Source organism: Homo sapiens, chromosome 1, assembly GCF_000001405.40.
Source record: "Homo sapiens chromosome 1, GRCh38.p14 Primary Assembly".
Classification (NCBI taxonomy): Eukaryota; Metazoa; Chordata; class Mammalia; order Primates; family Hominidae; genus Homo; species Homo sapiens.
In genome coordinates, this window is record NC_000001.11 from 199194250 (window position 1) to 199221998 (window position 27749).

General features: G+C 38.9%; 1 long non-coding RNA gene across 1 annotated transcript in view, besides 1 other annotated feature; it reads left to right on the top strand.

The window, feature by feature from the left end:
* Window positions 1–27749, top strand: part of LINC02789 (long intergenic non-protein coding RNA 2789) — a 244710-nt gene that overhangs the window by 45652 nt on the left and 171309 nt on the right. The gene's annotated exons all lie outside the window — the stretch shown is intronic.
* Window positions 24304–25018: an enhancer, noted in NCBI's record as "H3K4me1 hESC enhancer chr1:199187681-199188395 (GRCh37/hg19 assembly coordinates)". NCBI's record gives its function as "activates a minimal SCP1, AML or CMV promoter by ChIP-STARR-seq in primed H9 embryonic stem cells {active_cell/tissue: H9 hESC(primed)}" and the evidence as "EXISTENCE:reporter gene assay evidence [ECO:0000049][PMID:30033119]".

Genomic DNA, 27749 nt, shown 5'->3' on the forward strand with positions numbered 1-27749 from the left:
AATAATCATTAGATTAAGATATTTGAAAAAAATAAAAACTGGAAAACTGGTGAAAATATTTGATAAATTGAATAGCTATTCCAGATTCCAAATTAATATAAAGGAAAGATAAGAAGAAAACTTTCTTAGATTGATAAAGAGAATCTGAAAAATAAAACCAATATAATAGTAAAATATCACAGTTAAAATAAAGCAAAAGATAGACCCACTGTTGTCCAACATTGCACTAAGATTTAATAACAAAAAAAAAGAAAGAAAATAAAAGGACTGATATACTTTGGATGTGTGTCCTTGCCCAAATCTCAGGTTGAAATGATTGAATCATGGGGGTGGATTTCTCAGGAATGGTTTAGTACCATACTCTTGGTGCTGCCACTGCAATAATGAGTGAGTTCTTGTGAGATCTGGTCATTTAAAAACTGTGTGGCACCTCTGTATCAGTCAGGGTTCTCCAGAGGGACAGAACTAATAGAATTTATGTATATGTAAAAGGGAGTTATTTTTTTTCAACTTTTAAGTTCTGGATTACATATGCAGGATGTGCAGGTCTGTTACATAAGTAAACATGTGCCATGGTGGTTTGCTGCACAGATCAACCCGTCCCCTAGGTATTAAGCCCAGGATCCATTAGCTATTCTTTCTGATGCTCTCCCCTACATCCCTGACAGGCCCCAGTGTGTGTTGTTCCCCCACGTGTCCATGTGTTTTAACCACTCAGCTCCCACTTACAACTGAGAACACAGAGTGTTTGGTTTTCTGTTCTTGCGTTAGTCTGCTGAGGCTAATGGCTTCCAGTTCCATCCATGTCCCTGCAAAGCACATGACGTCATTCCTTTGTATGGCTGCATGGTATTCCAGTGATTACTTAAAAATCAAGAAACAACAGATGGCTGGCGAGAAAAGAGAAAAAGGAACGCTTTTCCACTGTTGGCGGGAGTGTAAATTAGTTCAACTATCGTGGAAGACAGTGAATCTTCTAGATTCAAAGATCTAGAAGCAGAAATACCATTTGACCCAGTAATTCCATTATTGGGTATATACCCAAAGGAATATAAATCATTCTGTTACAAAGATACATGCACGTGTATGTTTATTGCAGCAGTATTCACAATAACAAACTCATGAAATCAACCCAAATGCCCATTCATGATAGACTGGATAAGGAAAATGAAAGAGAGTTTATTAAGCAGTATTGACTCACACTATCACAAGGTGAAGTCCCACGATAGACCGTCTGCAAGCTGAGGAGCAAACTGAGCCAGTAGTGGCTCAGTCCAAGTCAAAAAGCCTCAAAAGTAGGGAAGCCAACAGTGCAGCTTTCACTCTATGGCCGGAGGCCCAAGAGCCCCAGGTAGACCACTGGTGTAAATCCAAGATTCCAAAAGTCCAAGATCCTGGAGTCTGATGTTTGAGGGCAGAAAGCATCCAGCATAGGAGTAAGATGAAAGCCAGAAGACTCAGCAAGCCAGCTTATTCAACCTTCTTCTGCCTGCTTTTTCTAGCCACACTGGCAGCCCATTGGATGGTGCCCGCTTACACTGAGGATGGGTCTTCTTCTCCCAGTCCAATGACTCAAATGTTAATCTCCTCTGGCAACACCATTACAGACATATCCAGAAATAATACTTGCATCCTTCAATTCAATCACGTTGACACTAAATGTTAACCATCACAACCTCCCTCCTCTCTCTTGCTCCTGCTTGTGCCATGTGATGTGCCTGCTCTCTCTTAACCTTCTGCCATGACTGTAAGTTCCCTGAGGCCTCCTCAGAAACTGAGCAGATGCTGCAATGCTTCTTGTACAGCCTGCAGAAGCAGAGCCAATTAAATGTCTTTTGTTTATACATTACCCAATCTCAGGTATTTCTCTATAGCAATGTGAGAATAGCCTAACACAATGACTATTTGAAACAATGAGACAAAACTCACATTATTTTCAGAAGATATAATAAGCTTGAAAAATTCAAGAGAATATATTTTAAAAATGGCGTTACTAAGAGTGCTCAGTAAGTTAACCAGATGAACACAATAAAATCTATGTAGAACATTAGAGTAAAACTGGCAGAAACATGCAGGAGATAGGCATAAATTTATTAATCTTTATCAAAGTAGATAAATGAAAATCTGAATGAATGGAGGAATTTATGCTTCCGAATTGGATGACTTGATATTATCAAATAGTTAATTTTCCCTAAATTAATGTCTGAATTAAATGATTTTTCAATCAAACTTTCAACTATTTATAGAACTTTACAACCTGATTCTGGTTAGCTGGCAGGAGTAACATACTTAAATAAGAATAAAGAATAATAATTTAAAATAATATAGAAGAAATTGCTTTACCAGATGTCTATCAAAATATACTATGAAGTCTAGTAATTAAAACAACATGGTACTAGCATAGGTATAGATATATAGATGTAGATCATTTGTATAAATGTTTAAAAATGTGAAGCAATTTTATGCTAAAGGCAGTATTTTGAATGTGTGGGAAAAGATAAAATATTTATTAAGTAGTGTTGAGACAGTGGCTATCTTTACTAAAAATAATAAAGAGGTTCCTACCTCACATTACACACACAAATAATTTGATTTATCAAAAATAGATGAAAATATTAAAATTTAAAATTATTAGATGAACTCTAAGAGAATGTTTGGTTTTATTTTTTAGGTAAGTCAAAGGTCCTGTTTGTGCAGAGACATAAAAAGCACACTTATGAACGCTTAAAGAAATGCAAATTGTTAATATTTTTTTGAAGATCTGTTACTTGACATCATCTTATCAGATAGAAAATGGGCACATCACTTTTCTCAGCAATTCTACTTTTATAAAGCTATTGGCTGGTGCAAAAGTGATTGTGATTTTTGCCATTATTTTCAATGGCAAAAACCGCAATCACTTTTGCCTCAGCCTAATACAAAACCATCTTACAGAAGTACTCACACACACAAAGATGCTACATGCCAGGGTACTCACTTCAGTATTGTTTTTAACATTGAAAAACTTAACTAAATGTGGGAACAGTTGAATAATTGTGACTCATTCATACCATGGAATCCTTATAAACATTTAAAGATATATCTTCTTTGGGAGAAGTAGCATAACTCCCCACCACTGAAGTGTGGGATGTACATTATGAATTCCTTCTTACAGTATGAAAAAGGGTGCCAAAAAAGTAACTTTACAGTAGAAAAACATGACAAATCAGATGATCAAGGTGAACATCATTAGTAACAAGTCACGTTAGTGGCATGTGCCCTTGCATAGTATAATGAGAATGAAACTCCACTTCTGTGGTATTCTTCCAAAACACCCATAACCTGTACCTAACTATGAGAAAAACATCAGAACAAACCAACAAACAAACTGAAGAGTATCCTACAAAATACCTAACCAGCGCTCCTCACAGTGTCAAAATCATCAGCAAACAAAGAAAGTATAAGAAAGGGTCACAATCTAGATGCTAGTAAGGAGACATGACAACTAAATGTCCTGTTGTATTTTGGTTGGGATTCTGGAGCAGAAAAGGGCATTAGTTTAAAAATAAGAGAATTAAGAAAATGTAATGTATGGACTTGAGTTTAATAATAATATGGATATTGGTTTATTCGTTGTGACAAATATACCACATAGTAATATAGGGCAATAACAATAGGGGAAGCTGGGTGAAGGGTATAGAAAAACCTTTCTGTACTAACCTTGCTACTTTTCCATAAATATAAAACTATACTATAATTGACAAAATTATTATTTTAAAATGGTGTACTTAAATATATAGGTTTATATGGTCTTACATAGAGTCTTTAAGATATTTAAGAAAAAGCGGTCAGGCACAGTGGCTCACACCTGTAATCCCAGCACTTTGGGAGGCTGAGGTGGGCGGATCATGAGGTCAGGAGATCCAGACTATCCTGGCAAACATGGTGAAACCCCATCTCTACTAAAAAAAAAATACAAAAATTAGCTGGGCGTGGTGGTGCGTGCCTGTAATCCCAGCTACTCAGGAGGCTGAGGCAGGAGAATCACTTGAACCCTGGAGGTGGAGGTTGCAGTGAGCCAAGATCACGCCACAGGACTCCAGTCTGGTGGCATAGTGAGACTCCGACTCAAATAAATAAATAAATAAATAAATAAATAAATAAAAGCAAGTCACAGAAAATTCATATACTATGATTTTACTTATAGTAAAACACCAAATTAGGAGATGCATATATGTGTGATAATTAAGAGGAAAAATAGTCTGTAAAAATATACACCAAACTACTGAGTTTGTGAAGTGCAGTGAAACAATGGATGATTGCCAAGATTTTCACCAAATTTACTACTCCTTGGATGCTGATATGGTTTGGCTGTGTCTCTACCCAAATCTCACCTTAAATTTTAGTTCCCACAATCCCCATGTGTCGTGGGAGGGACCTGGTAGGAGGTAATTGAATCATGGGGGCCTTTAGACCCATGCTGCTGTTCTCGTGATAGTGAATGAGTTCTCACGAGATCTGATGGTTTTATAAGGGGCTTTCCCACCTTTTGCTCGGCACTTCTCTTTGCTGCCACTATGTGAAGAAGGATGTGCTTCCCGGCACGAGTGCCCCGAAGGGTAGTTCCGGGAACTTGCTCCAAAAGTAGGCCTCCACTTTGGAGACAAAGCCACATCAGTTATTTGAACAGAGGAGAGTTAATATAAAGAATTGTTAATCAGGGAAAGGGAAGCATAAGTAGCATGTGTAAAGGGTCAGCTACTACCACTAGGCCGAATGAGAGTAGACAATGAAAGAACTAAGGTCTCAGAAGAACTACTCTCCCACCGACACACACACACACACTTCAGGCTGAGATTGAGACTTTTTGACATAACTGCACAGATCTCACATGATCACAGGAAAGACTGACAGCAATTTGATGCACAAAGTAAAGCTCTGCCAACCCTCCTCCTGTAGCTATTAATAAAACTACTTCATGAAAAATGAAAAGCCCGTGAGAAATGCTGAACCAAGTGGGACACCAGAATAACAGGTATAACTGGGACTGTTCCAGACAAACCAAGGTGTATGGTCATCTTACCGGTATGTTGTAGTCCAAGAGGATGAGGATTATGTTTCCTATTTAACATTCTTGTCTTCAGTATATTCAATCAGAATGTCCCCAAAAGGAATGGATACATTTAAAAGACAAACAGACCTTTCTAATTGCCATCCAACACCTTGTCATTTAATATTTCCAGGTAACACCCTTGGAATTAATGGGGAGAATGACAAGGCACTAACGAGGCACTAATGGAAGTTTCCCGGTGGTATTACATCAGAAACACTCATTTCCCTTCAAATACAAAATCTGGCAAACCAATTAATGTGATGCTTTCAAACTGAGGTCCCCGGGATTCTGTACATTCCAGAGTCAGCAAGTACTCCACAATATTTCCCTTTCATAGCATGCTTTCATTTTGGTAATGAGCTGAACATTTTAATATAAGCATGTTTTAGATTATCTACTTGGCCACTATATAGGGGAGTTCTCTTGAATTTAGGATCACGTAGATGCTAAGTGGTATTAATTTAATTGTATTGTAGTACGGTAGTGAAAAATAAGAGGCAAATCTGATGTAAATAATTTGTTAGCTCTATGGACTAGCCACATAATATCCAGGAAGACTTTGTCACAGTTTAAATAGAAATAAGTGGCAGGAGAACTTAAGAGACAAGAGATTTGGGCAAATTGAATATATGCATTAGTACAGTCACATTCAACACAATCAGCACCAAAGCAGTCAATATTGATTCCAGTTGAAATAGCAATTTAGCTTTAGCAAGACAGTATCACAAATCACAGACAAGGAGACTCCATGGAGCCATTTAGGCTGGCTACACATGGAGAATGACAACACCATTCCCTAAAGGTTCTCAACATCCAGACCTTGATTCTTATGGACACGTCCTCATCCTAATTAAAACCCTCTTCCCTCAGTGAACGCGTGAAACACTCTTTTTTTTTTCCAACTTTTTTTTACAATCATGGGGTACATGTACATGTTTGTTGCATGAGCAAATTGCATGTAGCTGAGATTTGGTGTACGAATGATCCCCCCACCCAGGTAGTGAGCATAGTACCCAATAGGTAGTTTTTCAACCCTTGCCCCACTCCAATTCTCCCCATTCTAGTAGTCCCCAGTGCCCAGTGTCTATTGCTGCTACCTTTTTTTTTTTTTTTTTTGGACAGAGTCTCACTCTGTCACACCGGCTGGAGTGCAATGGCACTATCTCAGCTCACTGCAACCTCTGCCTCCTGGGTTCAAGCCATTCTCCTGCCTCAGCCTCCTGAGTAGCTGGGATTACAGATGTATGCCACCATGCCCTGCTAATTTTTTTTTTATTTTTAGTAGAGACAGGTTTCACCATGTTGGTCAACCTGATCTTGAACTCCTGACTTCGTGATCTGCCCACCTCGGCCTCCCGAAGTGCTGGGATCACAGGCGTGAGCCACCGTGCCCGGCCTTATTGCTCCCATCTTTACATCCATGTGTACTCAATGTTTAGTTGCTACTTACAAATGACGTAATATGCATGCTTATTTTATCCCCAATTCTTTCTATTACTCAGGAAATGTGTGTGCTGAGCCAATTATCTCTATTTGATTCATTTGGCCAGTGCTTCATTGAGTAGTAAGTGCAGGGGACTTTGGGGATATTAAAGTTATTAGAAATATAAATAATAGCAAATCAGTAACTATATATTTCAAAACACCACTAAAGAATTGGGTATGCCATATTACTGTTTAAAGGATAACATGTATAATTCCCCAGATACATATGAGTTTCATTTAGTATAAAAATTAAGAGTAAAGTGAGGCCAGGCGCGGTGGCTCATGCCTGTAATCCCAGCACTTTTGGAAGCCGAGGCGGGCGGATCACGAGGTCAGGAGATCGACACCTCCTGGCTAACACGGTGAAACACCCTATCTACTAAAAATCCAAAAAAAAAAAAAAAAAAAAAAAAAATTAGCCGGGTGTGGTGGCGGGCACCTGTAGTCCCAGCTACTCAGGAGGCTGAGGCAGGAGAGTGGCGTGAACCCAGGAGGTAGAGCTTGCAGTGAGCCGAGATCGCGCCACTGCACTCCAGCCTGGGCGACAGAGCGAGACTCTGCCTCAAAAAAAAAAAAAAAAAAAGAGTAAAGTGAAAAAGAATTTTATTTCAGATTGGATTTACATCAGCAATGGTAGCTAATCTTCCATCAAATGTATAGAACACAACAAAAATTGGTGGATTTAAAATTTCAGCATAATTAAATCCTTTTAGATTTTTTTTTGAAATTACCTACACAAGAACCACTTAATTTCAAGGTAAGGGGTAACTAATGTGCATTAGTAATTAAAGATAGCTGGCAGAGGGAGTAGATGAGGTGTTTAGAGGAAGAATTTGTGGCTTAGTATTTTCAACCAAGCCAGGAAAGAAAACCCTCTGATTTAACCTCCAATGAAAATTTCTATTTTAATTATGATAATGATGTTATTTAAATTAGCTTCACGTCTATTAACATATATACACTCCCAGGATCTCTAGGCACAAATGCCAGTGACCTTCCCCATAACTTGAGATGCCTTTTGCCTTTCATTCAGAAAAGGGGAATCTTTCACAGCAGAGCAATAGCTTGAACAGATTGCTCAGTAGAGAGCATATTTCTAGGAAATAGTCAAACATGGGCACACGTTCCTGGAGTAGGTATATATTTATATACTGAATGAGTTTCAGAAATGCCAAGTTTCAGGCAGCAAAAGACATCCACTTTGTATTCAGAGAAAGAGGAGGACATTTAAAATAAAATAGATTTAGGAACTAATGTAATGCAAAACTTGAACATGTGCAGACTTTGTTACAGACCAGGTCCCCACTTCATGGTGTGTTTAATAAAAGATAAGGAAACTTTAAAGGTTGAGAAGTTTAAGTTCTCTGAAAATATAAATGATTCTTTGCTGCTTCTCTGAACCCCTGTGAACAATTTTACCTAAGAACATTTGACATTTTAGGAGAACCTACACATTACTTACTTCTGGAAAGCTTCTAGATTCTAAGTTAATATTATCCTATTCCATTTTAAAAAACATTTTTAGAAAAGAATTTGACCAAGAGCCTAGGGTTAAATCTAAATAATGAAAAATATCAAAGAATCCTTTCAATCTTAGTAAAGTTAAGTGACAAAGTCAACTGCCTTAAGTAAGCTGCTATGTTGCCTCCAGGTGCTTCCTCTACAAGGAGTTCCTCAGAGAGGCTAGGATATCGGTGGAAAAAAAAAGTCTGGCAAGGTAAGAGGAAGTTAAATATGATGAGACCACAAAGCAAATATGTTAACTCCTTGAATCTTATCAGCATTCAGGAAACAGTTTGTTCATTCAGTCAAAGGATCTCCCAAGATCCTCCATTACCTGAATTAGTGCGGTATTCAAGGCACTTTGCAATTTTTGCTGAAACGTAACTGTAGAGTCTTATTTTTCATCTCACCCCTTTAGACCCACCCACTCCTCAGCTTGTGCTGTGGTAGGACACAGTGTGTCAATTCACACACCTGTGATTTCTTTTCCCACTCTGTGGCCTCTTTCTGGCATTCCTGACCGGCCAGATAAAATTTGACCACCTTGATGAAACTCCCTGAATCTCAGGCGAAATTAATAACTTGGTTCTTTGTGCATGTTTGAACATAGCATTGGTTACATTTTCCTTTAACTATTTATATTTTTGTCTGACCTTCTCACCAGACAATGTAAAGGGCAAGGATATTATATTATTCACTTTTTAGTCTTCTAAATTAAGCACCATATCATCAGTGTTCTGTAGCATATCATTAGGTTATACATGAACAAATTCAAAATATGCTCAAAAAGCATTCTGCTAAACAAAGTTAAACAGGTTTATTTACTACAGGACTTCTTAGAATCTTCAATATGCTAATTTATATTAGTTTACACCTAATATGCTATGTAGCATATTACACTGGATTTCACAGTTATGTACTATGTAATCCCATTTAGGGGAAACCTCTTCTATTGAACATACTTTAGTAGTTGCCTTCTTAGCACATAATAGATATTCAAAAAATGTGTGTGAATTAAATCTATAAACCATTATTTTTGTACACTATAAGTGATTTAATTTATCATGGAGTTTGGATTTCTCTACAGAAATAGCACTGTCCAGTAGTTAACCTATTCACTTGGAAAATTACTGTTGCCCTTTCTGGGCAATGGAGTATTTGATAAATCACACAGCTTATCTTCATCCCTATTTCCCTATGTTTGGAGCAGGTAATAATCACTTTAATGGTGCTTAAGGATTGTTTTGAAGTACTCTATTTTGTTGAAGTGCAACTTGAAATAAAGATAGATGATTATTGACTAGAACCATTATAAAAAAATAACAGCTTGCTTTGGTATAGAGAAAAAGACTAAGTCTGTGTCATTTTGTCTGAGATATAATTGGTATTTTCAGCCATAATGAATAAGCCTTTCATTTTGGTTTAGTGGGAGTTCTTATATAGAGCAAACCATGTCCTTGGGGGGAAAAAAGTCTTCCTTACCCTAAATTATCTACCATAACTAATTCCTTCAAAGTCATTGGAAAAAAAATAGACATATTTTCTGACTTTGGTTTCTGGCTCAAGATCTCTCTAAGTTCCCTGAATATATTTAATTAAAACCTTCATATAAAAATCACATGAAACAGATTTTTGAAGCCCTGTAATCTGGGCTATTTGTAGGAGTCGTCACCTTGCTACAGACAGACTTCTCTTGGTGGAAAAATCCTCTTAACCAATCGTCAGCTAAAGGTCACTTGCGAGTGTGCAATGCTTAGTGTTTCTCCAGGCCCAGTTTTGCATTACTTCTTGTTTCACTGTAGGTTTTCCTCAACTTCCAAGCTAGCAATTAGCCTCATAATTCAAATATCTTTCAAATAAGAAAAAGCAAACCATTTTATTGAATAATTTCGTATTTTTCACTGTACTGCAAATTAAATACAATTTCTAACTACAAAGATTAGACTAAGTAGAACTATTTCACACAAAAGTAGCTTGTTGATGAGAATATCTGGCCCTGGGATATTTCAATTCTCCACCTGGAGGCTAAGCTTCCAAGTTGTTTGTCCGCTATCATGGCCTTTGTTCTTTACATTTCCTGGCAAATGGTATCCATGGAGAATAACTGTTGCAACAAAATAATATAATTCCATTGTGTTTGGTGAACGTTAGGGGAGGACATGTGAAACCAATATATTTCATCCACTTATGACGCAAAAATGGTTAAATTGGGATTGATTCAATAAATATTTACTGCAAGCTTTCTATGTGCTGGGCACTGCTTAGGCCCTGGGGATAAAGCAATGAGCCAGACACAGTTTCTGTCCTAATGAAACTTAACGTTCTACTCTTTTAGTTGAGCAAAATATGTGTGTTCTTCTTCTGTTTCTTCTCTATACCTAAGCATCCCTTTATAACTTTTTGGTTCCTTTTTTCCTAGTAAAGTTCTTCACTTTTTTATGTGCTTTGCATAAATTAAACTCTGGAATGAGAAAAATAGTAATGCTTAACTCAATGTAACTGAGCAGATTAAGGTGATAAGGTGAGAAATAAAATTATTTCACCTCATTTTCAATGGTTTACAGTTAATATGTATATACAGTAAGCTCATATGCTCAACCATGACCACTAAGGTAGATATAGTTTGTACCCAGTCTCCCAAGCACCCAGATATTTCTCCAGCAAAAGATGACCCTTTGTCACATATTCACTCAAAACTATCTCCGACGCTTGCTTTAACTGATTTCTCAGACATAAAAATATGCAGGAGACTGGGAGTTCATACATTTAAAAATTTTCTTCCAATAAATCCCTTTAGTATTGGCTCTGATCATTGCCATTGCATGATACAAATTGTGTTAAGGAAGATCTTAAAAGTTTGCAGAATTAGATTCAGAATTTTAGAGCTGGAAGACAAAACAAGGATCCATTGTCTTCCATCTCAGTTCTCTTTCCACACAGAGCCAAGGTATATCCTCTTTATTCCCAAGCGCACTTTCTCCAACATAGAGAACATCAATAAAAGCTAACAATACCGACTCCCTCTGTGAATCACTGCAGCCACAAATTACAATAAACCACTCAACCACTTACATTCGCAAAACTAGTAGTTTAAACATACATTTTTGTTTTTAAAATATGCGAAAGTTTCATTGCACAGAAAAATAATAAAATTAATGTTTCTACATCTGATGTTGATTTCTTCAATTCACTCATCAAATAAGCTGTTCAGGTATACAGAGTTATATCTTCAGATAAAACTTTAGAGTTATATTTTCAGATCTTCAGATCAATCAGAAGCATTCACTTTTTCTTCTCTTTTTAGAACCTCTCCCTGTTTTTCCAAGCTCTTCCCCTACTCTCCAAGGCCACCATAGGCTATAATTTTTCCTTCTCTTAAAATCTCATTCCTATTTCTCTTCACCAACCCCAGAAGTATCTGCCTAACCAATTATCCCACCCCAACTACTTGATCATGACAAATTAAGTCTTTGATCTATCTGCCTCTGTGTTTGCTAGGAAATGTATCACACTTCTATTAAAAAGTATAATTAGACTTGTTCTGGTCAAAATAAAACATTCCCTAACAATTAGTGAGAGGAATCTAGGGAACTTCCATAAATGACTAACCAGGAAGGCAAGTATTAAGTTGAGAGGAAGTGTGTGTGTGCACATTTGTGTGTGTGTGCATGTGTGTGTGTGTGAAAACTTTTAGCACCCTACAAGTCACTAAACGTTTTACTATAGATATCTGGAAAGACAGATGGACTTTGAAAAATCTATAAATGTGCCACTTAACTCTAATGACAATACCGTGCCACTGCAAATTTTCCTAAGACCTGTCTCTAAGTCAACAAAGGCAGCTGTGAAAGAAGTTTCTAAATTTTGGATTGAAGATGTGCCAGAGGAAGGACGGATGGGAGGGGTGCTGAATGTTGATTATTCCTGCATTATCAATTCTTACTATGCTACAGCTGTCACAAATTGGGTTCTTTGGAAACAGATGCTGAGACATAGTTTGTGGCATGCGATATTTTATTATAAATGTCCGTGAAGGGAAGGTGAAAAACTAACATCTGGTAGGAAGAAAAAATGAACTGTACTAACCATAACGCAGGCCCAACAAAGCCTCTTCCAAATACATGGAGAGCTCTGGTGAAGTAGAGTTGATCCTTGAGTAACTCAGGACATAGCGATGCTGACTCTCTGTGCAGTCACATATGTGCATATATTAATAGCTTTTGATTCCCCCAAAACTTAACTAATAGCCTACTATTGACCGGAAGCCTTACTGATAATATTAAAATCAATTAACACATATTTTGTACATTGTACGTATTATATACTTACTGTATTTTTATAACAAGGTAAGCTAAAGAAAAGAAAATGTTATTAAGAAAATCATAACAAAAAATATTTACTATTTATTAAGTGAAAGTGAATTATCATAATGGTCTTCATCCTGGTCATATTCACATGGAGTTGGCTGAGGAGGAGAGATAAGGAGGAGGAGGTGGTCTTGCTGTCTTGGGGTGGCAAAGGTGGCAGAGATGCAGAAGATGGAAGGGGAAACAGGAGAGACAAGTTACTCGATGTAACTTCTAGAAACACTTGGTAATTTCTAACATTTTTTGCTTTTTCATTTCTTTAAATATGTTTCTATACAGTACCAATTTTTCTTCCACCATTTGCCGTAGTTTCAGTGCTTGCGTCTTAGATGGGTTCACGTCATAAATGAAGGCAAAACCAGCCTTGAGGCCAGGCACGGTGGCTCACGCCTGTAATCCCAGCACTTTGGGAGGCCGGGGCGTGGGGTGGGGGGTGGATCAAAAGGTCAGGAGTTTGAGACCATCCTGCCTAACACAGTGAAACCATGTCTCTACTAAAAATACAAAAAAATTAGCCAGGCGTGGTGGCGGATGCCTGTAGTCCCAGCTACTCGGGAGGCTGAGGCAAGAGAATGGCATGAACCCAGGAGGCAGAGCTTGCAGTGGGCTGAGATCCCGCCACTGCACTCCAGCCTGGGTGACAGAGCGAGACTCCGTCTCAAACAAACAAACAAACAAAAACAAAAAAAACCAGCCTCGAATAATTGGAACCCTTCTACCAGACTGTCTCCTGTCAATTTGTTTTCTGGCACTGCTTCTTCTAAACCTTATTTCTCATTGCCTGCAACTCATTTCCATCAAGTCATCTTCTGTTAATTCCTCTGATGTAGTATCTATTAGTTCTTAAATTTCTCCAAGATACCTATCTTGAAATCTTTCACTCCCAAACTTTTTTTTCTTTTTTTTTTTTTTTTTTTTTTTTGCCATTTTCACCATCTCTTTCATGATTTCCTTGATTGGCTCAATTGTAGATTCTGTGAAATCATGCACAACATATGAACACAGTTTTCTCCAACAGGAGTGTATTGTTTGGGGCTTGATGGTTTTCACAGCTTTTTCTCTAACAACCTTGATAAATTCAATGGTGTAATCCTTCCAGATTTTTATGATGTTCTCTCTACCAAGGTCCCCTCCAATGTGTTGAAGACATAGAAGATCATGTGTAATGAGCCTTCAAGGTCCTTATGACCCCCTGATCTAGAAGCTGAATTGGAGGTATTGTGTTTGGGGGAAAGCACACCACTTCAATGCCTTTAATGTTGAACTCTTCAGATTCTAGGGGTCCAGGGGCATTGTCTAATACCAAAAAGGAATGTAAAGGGCAGTCCCTTGCTGGCCAATAACTTTTTGACTTCAGGAAGAAAGCACTGATGGAACAAATCCAGAAAAAGGGTTCTTCTGGTCCAGGCCTTCTTGTTATGCAACCAAATACTGGCAGCTGTTATTTAACTTTTCCCTTTACTGCTCAGGGGTTACTAGCTTTGTAGGTAAGGGCAGTCCTGATCATAAACCCAATTGCATTTGCACAAAACAGGAGAGTTAGCCTATCCCTTCCTGCCTTAAATCCTGGAGCTCACTTCTTTTCCTTATTAATAAATGACCTCTGTGGCTTTTTTTTTTTTTTCCAGAATAGAGCATTTTCAAGCTACATTAAAAACCTGTTCAGGCAGATATCCTTTCTCCTGGATTATTTTCTTAATGGTATCTGGAAATTCATCTGCTGCCTCTTGGTCAGCAGAAGCTGCTTCTCCTGTTATCTTGATATTTTTTAAGCCCAATCTCTTTCTAAAATTATCGAACCATCCTTACCTGGTGTTAAATTCTCCAGCTTTAGATCCTTTTAAGTTGTCATGTAACGACATCACTTTTTCTCAAATTATATTAGAATCTATAGGTATACCTTTCTTATAACAATCCTTCACCCACATAAAAGCTGCATTTTCAATGCAAGAACAAAAGGTATTTCACAAAAAGTGCAAGGTATTTTGTCTGCTGGCATAGCTGTAACACTGGCTTCATCAATTTTCTTTTCTTTTTTTTTAAGAGGTCCTTACACTGGATTCATTTATCTTGAAATGGGGGGCAAACTGCAGCTGCCGATCTCAATCTACAGCACATAGGAAGCAATCAACCTTTTCTTGTAATGTTATGACTTATCTCTGTTTCTTGAGAGCACTTCCAGCATCACTAGTGGCAATTTGTATGGATTCTATGGTATTACTTAAAGTGTACAATATTGCATTAAACATGTTGAAAAATGTGCCAGAACTGTGAGAGATCACTTTTCACTGTGATATACAATTTGAGAGATGAACTGCTGATGAGGTGATGATTAGCATCACATGTTTTAAGCAGATACTATCAACACTTAGGATCACTGTAATAGCAATAGGAGGTGGCTCCAAAATTGTTACAGCAGTACAGTATATGCTACAATTCATTTTATGTGGTTATAATGTAATACTGCATTTTCATGTTTGTTTCTATTTCTGGGTACAGCAAATGTCACCATGTATGATCTAAAAGTGCTTGTGTGTGAGTTTTGACAAATTTTAACTTTTGTAATAGATATTTGTATATTTTATGACAGTAAGTTATAAAATAAACTAGTATCTACATCTATTTTCTACATTCATGACATACCTATTTTTTCTTCATGATTTCAATAGTTCTAGGCTATGTGGTTTGTCTGTTAGTTTTTCAAATTGTTGCAAAAAATTTTCTAATATATGTTTTGAAAAAAGTCTGCATACAAGTGGAGCTGCAGTCCCATATTATTCAAAGGTGTACTGTATTGTGCTTTAGTGTGTCCATGTTGGGCTGAAATGTCCCACCATATTCCCCTCTTGCCCAGTCGTCAGATTCAGGCATCCCAGGGAAGAATGTGGCCTGGTGTGGGTGGGAGGGGGAGCAGGGGAAGTGGGAGGGTGGCTCTCTGCAGCAGAGGCAGGTTCTAAAACATCTGACATATGGAGGCTGTCTGCTGACCACAGCTGGGCAGCAATTCCTTCCCTGAAGGGGAATCTGAGAGGTACATCTTCATGTCTTTCACAATAGCTAAGAGAAATTGGGTACAATTCTAGACCTTATATATAAATAATTTGAAATCAAGAATGTGTCGCCAAGCTCATCAACACAACAGGACCATTGATCACTCTCTTCTTCTTATTATTATTATACTTTAAGTTCTGGGGTACATGTGCAAAATGTGCAGTTTTATTACATAGATATATACGTGCCATGGTGGTATGCTGCACCCATCAACCCATCACCTACTTTAGGTATTTCTCCTAATGCTATCCCTCCCCTAGCTCCCCACCTCTGACAGGTCCAGGTGTGTAATGTTCCCCTCCCTTTGTCCATGTGTTCTCATTGTTCAGCTCCCACTTATGAGTGAGAACATGCTGTGTTTGGTTTTCTGTTCTTGTGATAGTTTGCTGAGAATGATAGTTTCCAGCTTCATCCATGTCCCCGCAAAGGACATGAACTAATCCTTTTTTATGGCTGCATAGTATTTCATGGTGTATATGTGCCACATTTTTTTTAATCCAGTCTATCATTGATGGACATTTGGGTTGGTTCCAAGTCTTTGCTATTGTGAATAGTGCTACAATAAACATGTGCATGTGTCTTCATAGTAGAATGATTTATAATGCTTTGTACATATCCAGTAATGGGATTGTTGGGTCAAATGGCATTTCTAGTTCTAGATCCTTGAGGAATCACCACACTGTCTTCCACAATGGTTGAACTAATTTACACTCCTTTATGAAGGACCTCTTTCCTGCAGAACCAGCTAAAAGTATATAAACCCAATTCTGGATATGATCCAAGGGACCATGATATCTCCCCAGTACATCCCTAAAACTTGCAGCTTCTAGATATATATGCAATAGCTTTGCTGTGGGAGCACATCAGGCTGACATTATCCTAATAGTTCTCTTGACTATTGTCTATATGTGAAGAAAGCAGTCTTTCTATATGATTTCTATCCATTTATGCAATCACTCATTGATTCATCTATTAACTAATCATTCTTCCCTTTGCCTACTTGGAGTGCATGTGAGGAATCTGAAACTAAAAAAATTCTTGAGAGGTCAGTCTCCTTGTTCTATAGATACCAGAACTAAAAATCATGCTAATTTATCCAAGGTTTTACATCTAATCATTGTCTAAATTATTACCAGAAGTCTTTGTGTTTTGACTCTTAATTCATGTTACCAGAGCTAATTCCTGCCAGACTCTAAAACACTACCAAACTATATAATACCCTAAATTGAAAATGAAATCAAACTAACTTCATTCAATGTTACCTTCCAAAAATGTTTCTATCATATGCAGTTTAAACTCAAGCCATAATTTATATTCCTGTTAAATTATTTGCTATAATAGAACAAACACATTTAAACACACACACACATTAAACATAACGGCCTTGTTCAGTGTGTATAATATACTAGTTAAATGCATTATTTAATCAATTTCCTCCATTTACTATGACCTTTTCCAAACAAATATTCCAAAATGCATTATGTCATACCTTCAACCATCTTGACTATTACTGCAGATTGCCATGGCTGAATTGCTTGACAGTGACTTGGATAAATGTGATAGTAACTGAACTGATAGTGTTGGCTACTTACCAATCTATTTCTTTGAAATAAACAGTTCCATGTATGGTAGGAAGATTAGTATAGTGACAATGTAGAGGATGTACTAAATATGGAAAAGACAGGGAAGTGAAGATAGAGTAGAAAAACTAGACTGGGTGTTAAAAATGAGTGGCTTACCCTTTGAAGTGAGTTCAGAGGCAAAAGTACAGGTTTTCTATATGATTCTATGTGGATTCTATATGTCCTGAGAGGTTAACTGGATTAAACGGCCTAAGAAGAAAGATGTGACTAACCCTAGTTTTACTTATTCAAATATTTAAAATACATACGAAAATATCAGCACTACTTAATAATGGTTATCATTTATTGAATGTTCTCTATATGCAAGAAATTGCACAAGATTACACAAGTATATATAATAGTATATTTAATGCATATTTATATGTATGTATTAATATATAAAAGCATATGTTAATAAAGTTTTAACAAATAATCATTATTCTAATTTTACATATGAAGGATAGGATCTGAGATTTTAATAATTTGTGATCACAAAACTAATAAGCGGCAGAGCCAGGATATAAGTCCAGGTATGACTGGCCTAAAAGTTTTCATTTTGTTTTCTATGATTATGCTTTGGGAATATCACTCATATCTGAATGATTGTCTGAATTTGATATGTTGTTTTGCCTCAGGTAGCAAATTATTCAAAGTATAGTTGTCAAAGAAGCTCAGGTTTTTTAATGCTCTGAGTACTCAGCTCATAGCCTCATAGCTTTTCCTGACATAGAACAGATCAAATATATATATATTTACTTATTTATTTGATTTATTATATATTTATTTATTTAATCATATATATATATATATATATATATATATATATATAGAGAGAGAGAGAGAGAGAGAGAGAGAGAGAGAGAGAGAGATGGAATCACACTCTATCACCCAGGCTGGAGTACAGTGGTGTAATCTCGGCTCACTGCAACCTCCGCATCCTGGGTTTGAGTGATTCTTGTGCCTCAGCCTCCTGAGTAGCTGGGATTACAGGCATGCACCACCACGCCTGTCTAATTTTTGTATTTTGAGTAGAGACGAAGTTTCACCATGTTGGCCAGGCTGTCTCGAACTCCTGACCTCAAGTGATCCACCCGCCTTGGCTTCCCAAAGTGCTGGGATTACAAGCGTGAGCCACTGTGCCCGGCCAAATATTTTGAAAAGCAATAATAACTGAACTTGGAAAAATAAATCTTATAAGGATAGTTCTATTCCATGACCATTTTAAAAAATAAAGTGTCTTACATTAATTTGTTAAGAGTCACATACATTCCAATGTCAGAAATAGGAGGCGGTGTTTTATATGGACAATGTGGGAGTTACTTCGATTGATTGTGTTTTTAGTACCTCAAAGATTAAAATCTCACTGTATAGATAAGATATGAACATGTGAAAAGTTCACTATCTAAATAATAATTCAAAATAGCAATAAAGAACCTAGAATATATGCTGTATTCAGGTATGGGTGATGTTGGTGTGAGGGATGGGCAGAGAGAGAGTAAAAAGGAAAAATATGAATATAAAATGAAAGCATGATAAATCACTTTAAGAATTTTAAGAAAAATGTAAAGGTGCAGGTAAACTTTTGATAGGCAAGAGAGAGGGCTAGAAAGTTGCACTGAGGCCAGCATTTAGAGGCTATTCAACATGAGGTTAAGAACTTTGGCTTTTATCCTCTAAAACCTAGAAGACATTAAATATGTCTAAGTAGGGGTTGAAATTATCAAACAAATATGATAGGAAGATTAGTTTGGTGACAATGTGGAGGATGGGCTGAATATGAAAAAGACAAGAAATTGAAGGCAGAGCGGAAACACTAGGTTGAGAAGTACTAGAAATGAGTGGCTGGCTCTTTGAAGTGAGTTCAGGGACAAAGGTACGGGTTTTGTAACTCTCACAGATACATTGGTTTATCTAAATAGTAATATTTTGAAATGCAAATTACTAATGCCTTCTATTATTCGTTCTTCAGCAAAGATATTTGACAATGTCTGGGACATTCTGGTGTGTTATATTTATGTTACATATTTTGTTCATGTGTGTTATATATTTTATTCATGTCCTTTGCCCACAGTTTAGAGGGGTTGTTTTTTTCTTGTAAATTTGTTTAAGCTCCTTATAGATGCTGAATATTAGGCCTTTGTCAAAGCCTAGTTTGCAGAAATGTTCTCTCATTCTGTATGTTGTCTTTTTACTCTGTTGATCATTTCTTTTGCTGTGTAGAAGCTCTTTAGCTTAATTAGATCCTATTTGTCATTTTTTTTTTGCTTTTGTTGCGATTGCTTTTGAAGTCTTTATCATGAAACCTTTGCCCATTCCTAGGTCCAGAATGGTATTGCCTAGGTTGTCTTCCAGATTTTTTATAGTTTGGGGTTTTACATTTAAGTCTTTAATCCACCTTGAGTTACTTTTTGTATACGGTGTATCAAAGGTGTCCAGTTTCAATCTTCTGCATACGGCTAGCCAGTTATCCCAGCACCGTTTATTAAATAGGCAATCCTTTCTCCATTTCTTATTTTGGTCAGCTTTGTCAAAGACAAGATAGTTGTAAATGTGTGGTCTTATTTCTGGGTTCTCTATTCTGTTCCATGATCTATGTGTCTCTTCTTGTACCAGTACCATGCTGGTTTGGTTACTGTAGCCCTTTAGTATAGTTTGAAGTTGGGTACCATGATGCCTCCAGCTTTGTTCTTTTTGCTTAGAATTGCCATAGTTATTCGGGCCCTTTTTGGTTCCTTATGGATTTTGAAATAGTTATTTCTAGTTATGGGAAGTATGTTATTGGAGTTTAATAGGAAAAGCATTGAATCTAAAAATTGCTTTGGACAGCATGGCCATTTTAACAATATTGATTCTTCCTATCCATGAGCACGGATAGTTTTCCATTTGTTGTGTTATCTCTGATTTCTTTGAGCAGTGATTTGTAGTTCTCTTTGCAGAAATCTTTCACCGTTTGGTAAGCTGTATTCCTAGATATGCAAATTTTTGTGGCAATTGTGAATGGAATTGCATTCCTGATTTGGCTCTTCGCTTGACTGATGTTGGTGTATAGGAGTGATAGTGATTTTTGCATACTGATTTTGTATCCTAAGACTGCTGAGGTTGCTTATCAGCTGAAGGAGCTTTTGGGCCAAGACTATGGGGTTTTCTAGATATACAATCATGTCACAAACAGGGATAGTTTGACTTCCTCTTTTCCTATTTGGATGCCCTTTATTTCTTTCTCTTGCCTGATTGCCTTGGTCAGGACTTCTAATACTATTTTGAATAGAAGTGGTGAGAGGGGGTATCCTTGTCTTATGTTGGTTTTCAAGGGGAAAGCATCCAGCATTTACCCATTCAGTATAATGTTGGTTATGAGTTTGTCATAGATGACTCTTATTATTTTGGAGTATGTTCCTTCAATATCTAGTTTATTGAGAGTTTTTAATATGAATGGATGTTGAATTTTATCAAAAGCCTTTTCTGCATCTATTGAGATAATCATGTGGTTTCTGTCTCTAGTTCTGTTTATGTGATAAACCGCACTTGTTGATTTGCATATGTTGAACCAACCTTGCATCCCAGGGATAAAGCCTGCTTGATTGTGATGGATAAGCATTTTGATATGCTGCTGGATTCAGTTTGCCAGTATTTGTTGAGGATTTTTGCATTGATGTTTCTCAAGGATATTGGCCTGAAGTTTTCTTTTATTGTTGTGTCTCTGCTGGATTTTTATATCAGGATAATGCTGACCTCATAGCATGAGTTAGGGAGGAGTCCCTCCTCCTCAATATTTTGGAATAGTTTCATCAGGAATGGTACCAGCTCTTCACTGTACATCTGGTAGATTTCGGCTGTGAAACTGCCTGGTCCTGGGCTTTTTTTCGTTGGTAGGCTTATTTATTGCTGACTCAATTTCAGAGCTCATATGGGTCTGTTCAGAGACTTTATTTCTTCCTGATTCAGTCTTGGGAGGGTATATGTGTCCAGGAGTTTATCCGTTTCTTCTAGATTTTCTAATTTATGTGTACAGAGGTGTTCATAATATTTTTTGATGATTATTTGTATTTATGTGAGGTTAGTGGTAATATCCCCATTGTCGTTTCTGATTGTGTTTATTTGGATCTTCTCTCTTTTCTTCTTTATTAGTCTAGCTAGTGGCATTTCTATTTTTATTAATTTTTTTCAAGAAACCAACTCCTGGACTCATTCATCTTTTGAATGTTTTTTCGTGTCTCTATCTCCTTCCGTTCAGCTCTGATTTGGTTATTTCTTGCCTTCTGCTAGCTTTGAGGTTGGTTTTCTCTTGTTTCTCTAGTTCTTTCAGTTCTGATGTTAGGTTGTTAAGTTGAGCTCTTTTTAACTTTTTTATATGGGCACTTAGTGATATAAATTTCCCTCTTAACACTGCCTTAGCTGTGCCCCAGAGATTCTGATATGTTGTATTTGTTCTCACTGGTTTCAAATAACTTCTTGATTTCTGCCTTAGTTTCATTATTTATCCAATATTTGTTCAGAAGCAGGTTATTTAATTTCCATGTAATTGTATGGTTTTCAGTGAATTTCTTAGTCTTAATATCTAATTTTCTTGTGTTATGGCTTGAGAGATTATTTATAATTTTAGTTTTTTGCATTTGCTGAGGAGAGTTTTGTTTCCAATTATCTGATTTATTTTAGAGTATGTGCCATGTCATGGTAAGAAGGGCGTATATTCTATTGGTTTGGGGTGATGAGTTCTGTAGATGTCCATCAAATCCATTTGATCCAGGTCCTCAATATCTGAGTTCAGGTCCTCAATATCTTTATTAATTTTATGTCTCGATGATCTAATATTTTTAGGAGGTGTTAAGGTACCCCACTATTATTGTGTGGGAGCCTAAGTCTCTTTGAAGGTCTCTTAAGAACTTGCTTTATGAATCTGGGTGCTCTTGTGTTGGGTGCATATATTTATGACAGTTAGGTCTTCCTGTTGAATTGAACCCTTTACTATTATGTAATGCTCTTTTTCCTTTTTTTGATTTTTGTTAGTTTAAAGTCTGTTTTGGTTGAAACTAGTATTGTAATTCCTGATTTTTTCTGTTTTCCATTTTCTTGGTAGATTTTTTTCTCCATCCCTTTATTATGAGCGTGTGTGTCATTTGATGTGTGATGGATCTCTTGAAGACAGCACACCAATGGGTCTTGGTTGTGCCTTATAATTGGGGCATTTAGCCCATTTACATTCAAGGTTAGTATTGACTTGTGTGGATTTGATCTTGTTATCATGATGTTGGCTGGCTATTTTTCAGACTTGTTTGTGTGATCACCTCATAGCGTCACTGGACTGTGTACTTCCATGTGTTTTTGTAGTGGCTAGTAACGGTCTTTCCTTTCCATATTTAGTGCTTTTTTCAGGAGCTCTTATAAGGCAGATCTGGTTATAACAAATTCCTTCAGCAATTGCTTATCTTCAAAGAATCGTATTTCTCCTTTGCTTATGAAGCTTAGTTTGGCTGAATATGAAATTCTGGGTTGGACATTCTTTTCTTTAACGATGTTGAATACTGGCTCCCAGTCTCTTCTTGCTTGTAGAGCTTCTGCTGAAAGAACTGCTGTTAGTCTGATGGTCTTCCCTTTATGGGTGGCCTGACCTTTCTCTCTAGCCATCTTTACATTTTTTCTTTCATTTTAACCTTGGAGAATCTGATGATTACGTGTCTTGGGGATGAGCTTGTGAAGTATTTTGCTGGGGTTCTCTGCATTTCCTGAATTTGAATATTGGCCTCTCTAGCTAGGTTGGAAAAATTCTCATGGATGATATCCTGAAATATGTTTTCCAAGTTCGTTCCATTCTCATCTCTTTCAGGGACAACAATGAATTGTAGATTTGGTCTCTTTATATAATCCCATATTTTTGGGAGGTTTTATTCACTCTGTTTCATTGTTTATTCTCTATTCATGTCTGACTTATTTCAGAAAGCCAGTCTCTAATCCCTGAGAGTCTTTTCTCTGCTTTGTTTTCTGCTATCAACACTTGAATTGCATTATGAAATTCCTGTAGTATGTTTTTCAGCTCTATCAGGTCGGTTATATTCTTTTCTATACTGGCTATTTTGTCTGTCAGCTCCTGCCTTGTTTTATCATGATTCTTAGCTTCCTTGGATTGAGTTTCAATGTACTCCTATAGCTCAGTGATCTTTATACCTACCCATATTCTGAATTCTATTTCTGTCATTTCAAGCATCTCAGCCTAGTTTAGAACCCTTGCTGGAGAGGTGATGCAGTCATCTGGAGGAAAGAAGGCACCCTGTATTTTCAACTTGTCAACATTCTTACACTGTTTCTTTCTCATGTTTTGGGCTTATCTTCTTTAATCTTCAAGGTTGCTGACTTTTGGATTTCTTTTTTTATTTTTTTTTTCAAATAGATTTTGGGGGAACAAGTGGTATTTGGTTACATAAGTGGTGATTTGTGAGATTTTGGTGCACCCATCACCCGAGTAGTATACACTGAACCCAATTTATCCTATTTGATGACCTCAAGGGTTTGATTGTGTTATAAGGTGGATTCAGCCAACTGGGTTTGTTTCTGTGAGATTTTTGGGAGTCAACATTCAGTTCCCAGCTCCTGGACTGCATGCTCTGACTCTGGGAGACTCGTATTGGGCCCCAGCTTTGTCCTCTGGCTTCTCAAGGTTAGGAATCTGCTGCACCAGGGGTAAGGGGCTGAGGTGCTCCTGGGCCACTGGTCACTACTCTCCAATAGGTGGTGTCAGCCAAAGTGTTTCATTGTGTGGTGACAGCAGAATTCATCCTCATTCGCATGTGCCTGCAGCAGCTATAGTAACACCACAGTGGGGTGCATACTCATCAGCTGCAGCAGAGTGCTAGCAGGTGCCAGCCTGCCTGCCTCCCTGTGGGCAATCACCACAGTGGCAGAGGAAATGGAGCTGGGTAGGTGGGGGCCCAGCTGGTTACTGTGTGTGCAATCATGCTGGTGGTGGCATTGGCTCCAGAATGAGGCACTAGTGGGCACAGGTCTGTGAGCCTTCTCTGTGTGCCACAAGCAGGAGTGGTCACTCAGGTTCTCTGCCCCTAGTTTCACTCCCACGGCAGTGTTAGCACAAAGCAGGGTACTGGTGGGGACAGGGCTGGCTAGCTTTGTGTCCACCAAGGCTCTGTCTGCAATGGTAGTTGCCAATAGGCAGGGGAGCAGACTGCATTCCCATTGCAGCAGTGGCAGGGCAGGGTGCATGCACATTCATGCAGGAGGGACAATGAAAGCAGAACCTGCCCATGCAGACATGTGACAGCAAAGCAATGTGGGTAGTTCTAGTGAGCCTGGTGGGAAACTGCAGTGTGGGGAGGGAGCATGTGGTCTGGTGAGTGGCAGTGGGGGGCCATCTCGCTGGAGCTCTCTGCCTGTCAGGCATAGTCTGCCAGCACAGAAGCTGTGATGGGGGCCCCCAGGGCATGTGAGGCTGCCCTACAAAGAGGCATGGCCACGCTGGGGCCCCAGGAGAGGCCAGCAGACCAAGGGGTGCCCAGGCTGGATGAGCCCTGCCTGATGGGCATGATTGCCCTGAAGAGTTCAGGACCAACAGTTCCCCTAGGGTTAAAGTCTCTTGTGGAAGCAAGTTGAATCTAGGGGGATGTCCAACCTTGGTTATGTTCCACTACAGATGTTCCCACACCAAACCCTCTGGGCTCTATGTCAGCTGGCTTGCTGCTTCTACCACTTCTCTGAGCAGCTCTCTCTGCCAATTTGAGTGTTGGTGGTGGTCGTGGGGTCTTCTCCTGCTTCGGTTCCAGGGTAAGAGCAGGTTGCACTTTGCCAGTCTAACTCATCCATTCCCCTGGAGCCACTGGGGGCCAGGAATGAGTCCAGGTGTGTAGTAGCCCCATGTAGGGTTCCTAGCTTTTCCCCCCTTCAGCCCAGCTTCTGTGTCTTCCCTCTGAAGATCTGTTAGGAGTACACCAGTCATCTCAGTCCTAGGTGACAGCTGTTCCACCTGGCCATATCTCATCAGCCCTATTATTTCATTAAATAAATTTTTCTATGCCTTTTGCCATCTCTTCTCTTTTTTGAACTCCCATAATATGAACAGTTGTTTGCCTTCTGTTATCTCGTACATCTTGTAGGCTTTCTTCACTCTTATTTTGTATTTCATTCATTGAATTCCTCAATTGCAGATTTCTGTTTGGTTCTTTTTTTATATCTACCTCTTTGTTAAATTTCCCATTAATATCATAAATTGTTTTTCTGGTTTTGTTGACTTGCCTATCTGTATATTTTTGTATCTCATTGAGTTTTCTTAAGATCAATATTTTGAACTTATTTTCCAGAAATTCGTAGGTTTCTTTTTCATTGGTGCCTGCTGTTAGAGAGTTATGGTGTTTCTTTGGTATAGTATTTCCTTGCTTCTTCATGTTGTGTCCTGGCATAAGCATGACTAGACCTTTTCCTTCTGTGTTTTCATGAAGTAAGCACGTCTTTTTGTCTTTCTAATTTACTTCCTATTTTACTTCGATGTCCATGCATCTGGTGGCATAATCACCTCTTACAAACTTTCTAGAGTGGTTTATGTAGAAAAAGACTTTCACCTGCATTTGGGTCTTAGTGTGCCAAGTGGGAAAAGCGTGGTGACTCTTACCAGGTAGATTCAGTTGTGTAGTCTCCATGCAGCATCTTGAGCTACATTCAACAGCAATAATAATTGTGGGTGCCTCAGAGGTCTATGCTTTAGAAGTTTGTGGCAGTCGTGATGCTGGTGTAGGTTGTTAAAGTCCTCAGTGGCAAGACTTTTCAGTCTTTCTATTCTCATTTTCCTCACAATGGGGTGACTTTGCTGAGACGATCTCTACTGGTGTGTGTGAGGTTTCACACAGCCTACAAGCAGCTGCAGTGGCACTGGATTCTAGACACTGGTGCTCAGAATGGTTGTGGGGCCAGGATCCCAGGCTTAGGATCTTGCAAACCTGTTGTGGCACCTGTGTCTTGTGGTACAGGTTTGTTTTCTGTGGCAGAGTTAAATGTTGATTGCCTACAGAGCCAAGATCTGTAACTCTCTCTGAGGTACCTCTAGAATCTTGGGCCCAGAGGGCCAGTTTATAGCTGTGATCTTACCCTTGTGGATCAGGGCACAGCACTGGCCCAACTCTGGAGAAGAAAGGGTGCTCTGGAAATTTGGGCTTGGGAGCATGATATGGCTGCAATTTGGAAACCTCAGCCAACAGGATTCAATGGCAACTTGGGTACCCGAGAATGAGGTACCATTTAATGACTCTGGACCTTGGGATGGTGGGGTTCTGTGAGGCTAGGTGCAGGAGCAACAAGTACACTAGAATGGCAGAGCACAGCTGTTGTTTGGGCCTGAGTAAGGCAAGGAGCAGCACAGTGATTACCCCACTCCCCACAGAGAGGAGTGTCTCAGCAGCTCAGACTCTAGGGGACCTGACCAGCTCTGAGAAAGCAAGGTATTAGAATTGTTTGGCCTGTAGAATGGGTGTCTCAGCTCAGCCACTCTTCTGTTTCCCTAAGACACAGGGTACTAGCTCAGCTCAGCTCTTGGATGCATATCTGCTCAGCTTAAACAAGGCACCATTTCCCCAGGGGATGATGTGCCTGTTTAGCTCAGTCCTGGGAAACTTAACTGTTCTGGGTGGTCCGGGAACCATTTCTCAAGAACATAGAGTATCACTTTAGCATAGACACCAGAGTGTATGACCACTTTGGACAGCCAAGATACCATTTCCTAGAAGATAGGGTGCTGTTTCAACTTATGCACAGGGGCAGACATGACTATTCTAGGATGCCATGGTGCTGTTTTCCCAGGATCGGGATGCTGCTTTGGCTCAGGAACAGAGGGGCATGACTATTCTGGGCAACCAAAACACTATCTCTCCATTTTCTGGCATTGCTTCTGCTCCAGCACAGGTGAGGCAGGGTGCAGTAGCAGCTGGGAGGTTTATTTGGTGGGCCAAGCCACCATTTCCTTGGAAGGCAGTGTGCAGCTTCAGCTCAGGCCCCTAGGGGAAGGGTGCAGCAGACACTGGAAAGGGCATATGGAGCAACTCTGCCAAGGCACTGTTTCCCCAGGAAAGAGAGTACAGCTTCAGCTCAGGCCCCTAGAAGCAGGGCATAACCGCAACTAGGAGAGGTAAATGTAGTGATTCTGCCAAAGCAACAATTCCCCAGGGGGACTGTACAGCTTTAGCATTGGTCCCCAGGTGCAGAACACAGCAATGACTGGGAGAGGTATATGGAGCAGTTCCGCCAAGGCAATGTTTCCTTAAGAGGCAGTGCACAGCTTTAGCTCAGTCCCCTGAGGGTAAGTCATAGCAGCAACAGTGAGGGGTAGATAAAGGGGCTACATCAGGGCCTTATTTCCCAGGAGGGGTTGTACAGGCCCAGCTCTGGCCTTATGGAACAGAGTACAGCTACAACTGAAGCCTGGGGAGACAGGTGGAGGAGCTCCACTGCTTCTTGGCTCTATGGAGAAGGAGGTGACAGCTGGTCATAGCTCAGCTTGGGGATGTTGGGCCACCAGCTGGGGATGGTTTGGTGGTGGCTTGGTCTCAGGAATGAAGATATGCCTTGAGCACTCACCCTTGTAGTAAGGCACACTCTAGTGGTAGTCCTAGTTCTAGGATGGTGCAGTATAGTAGCTGC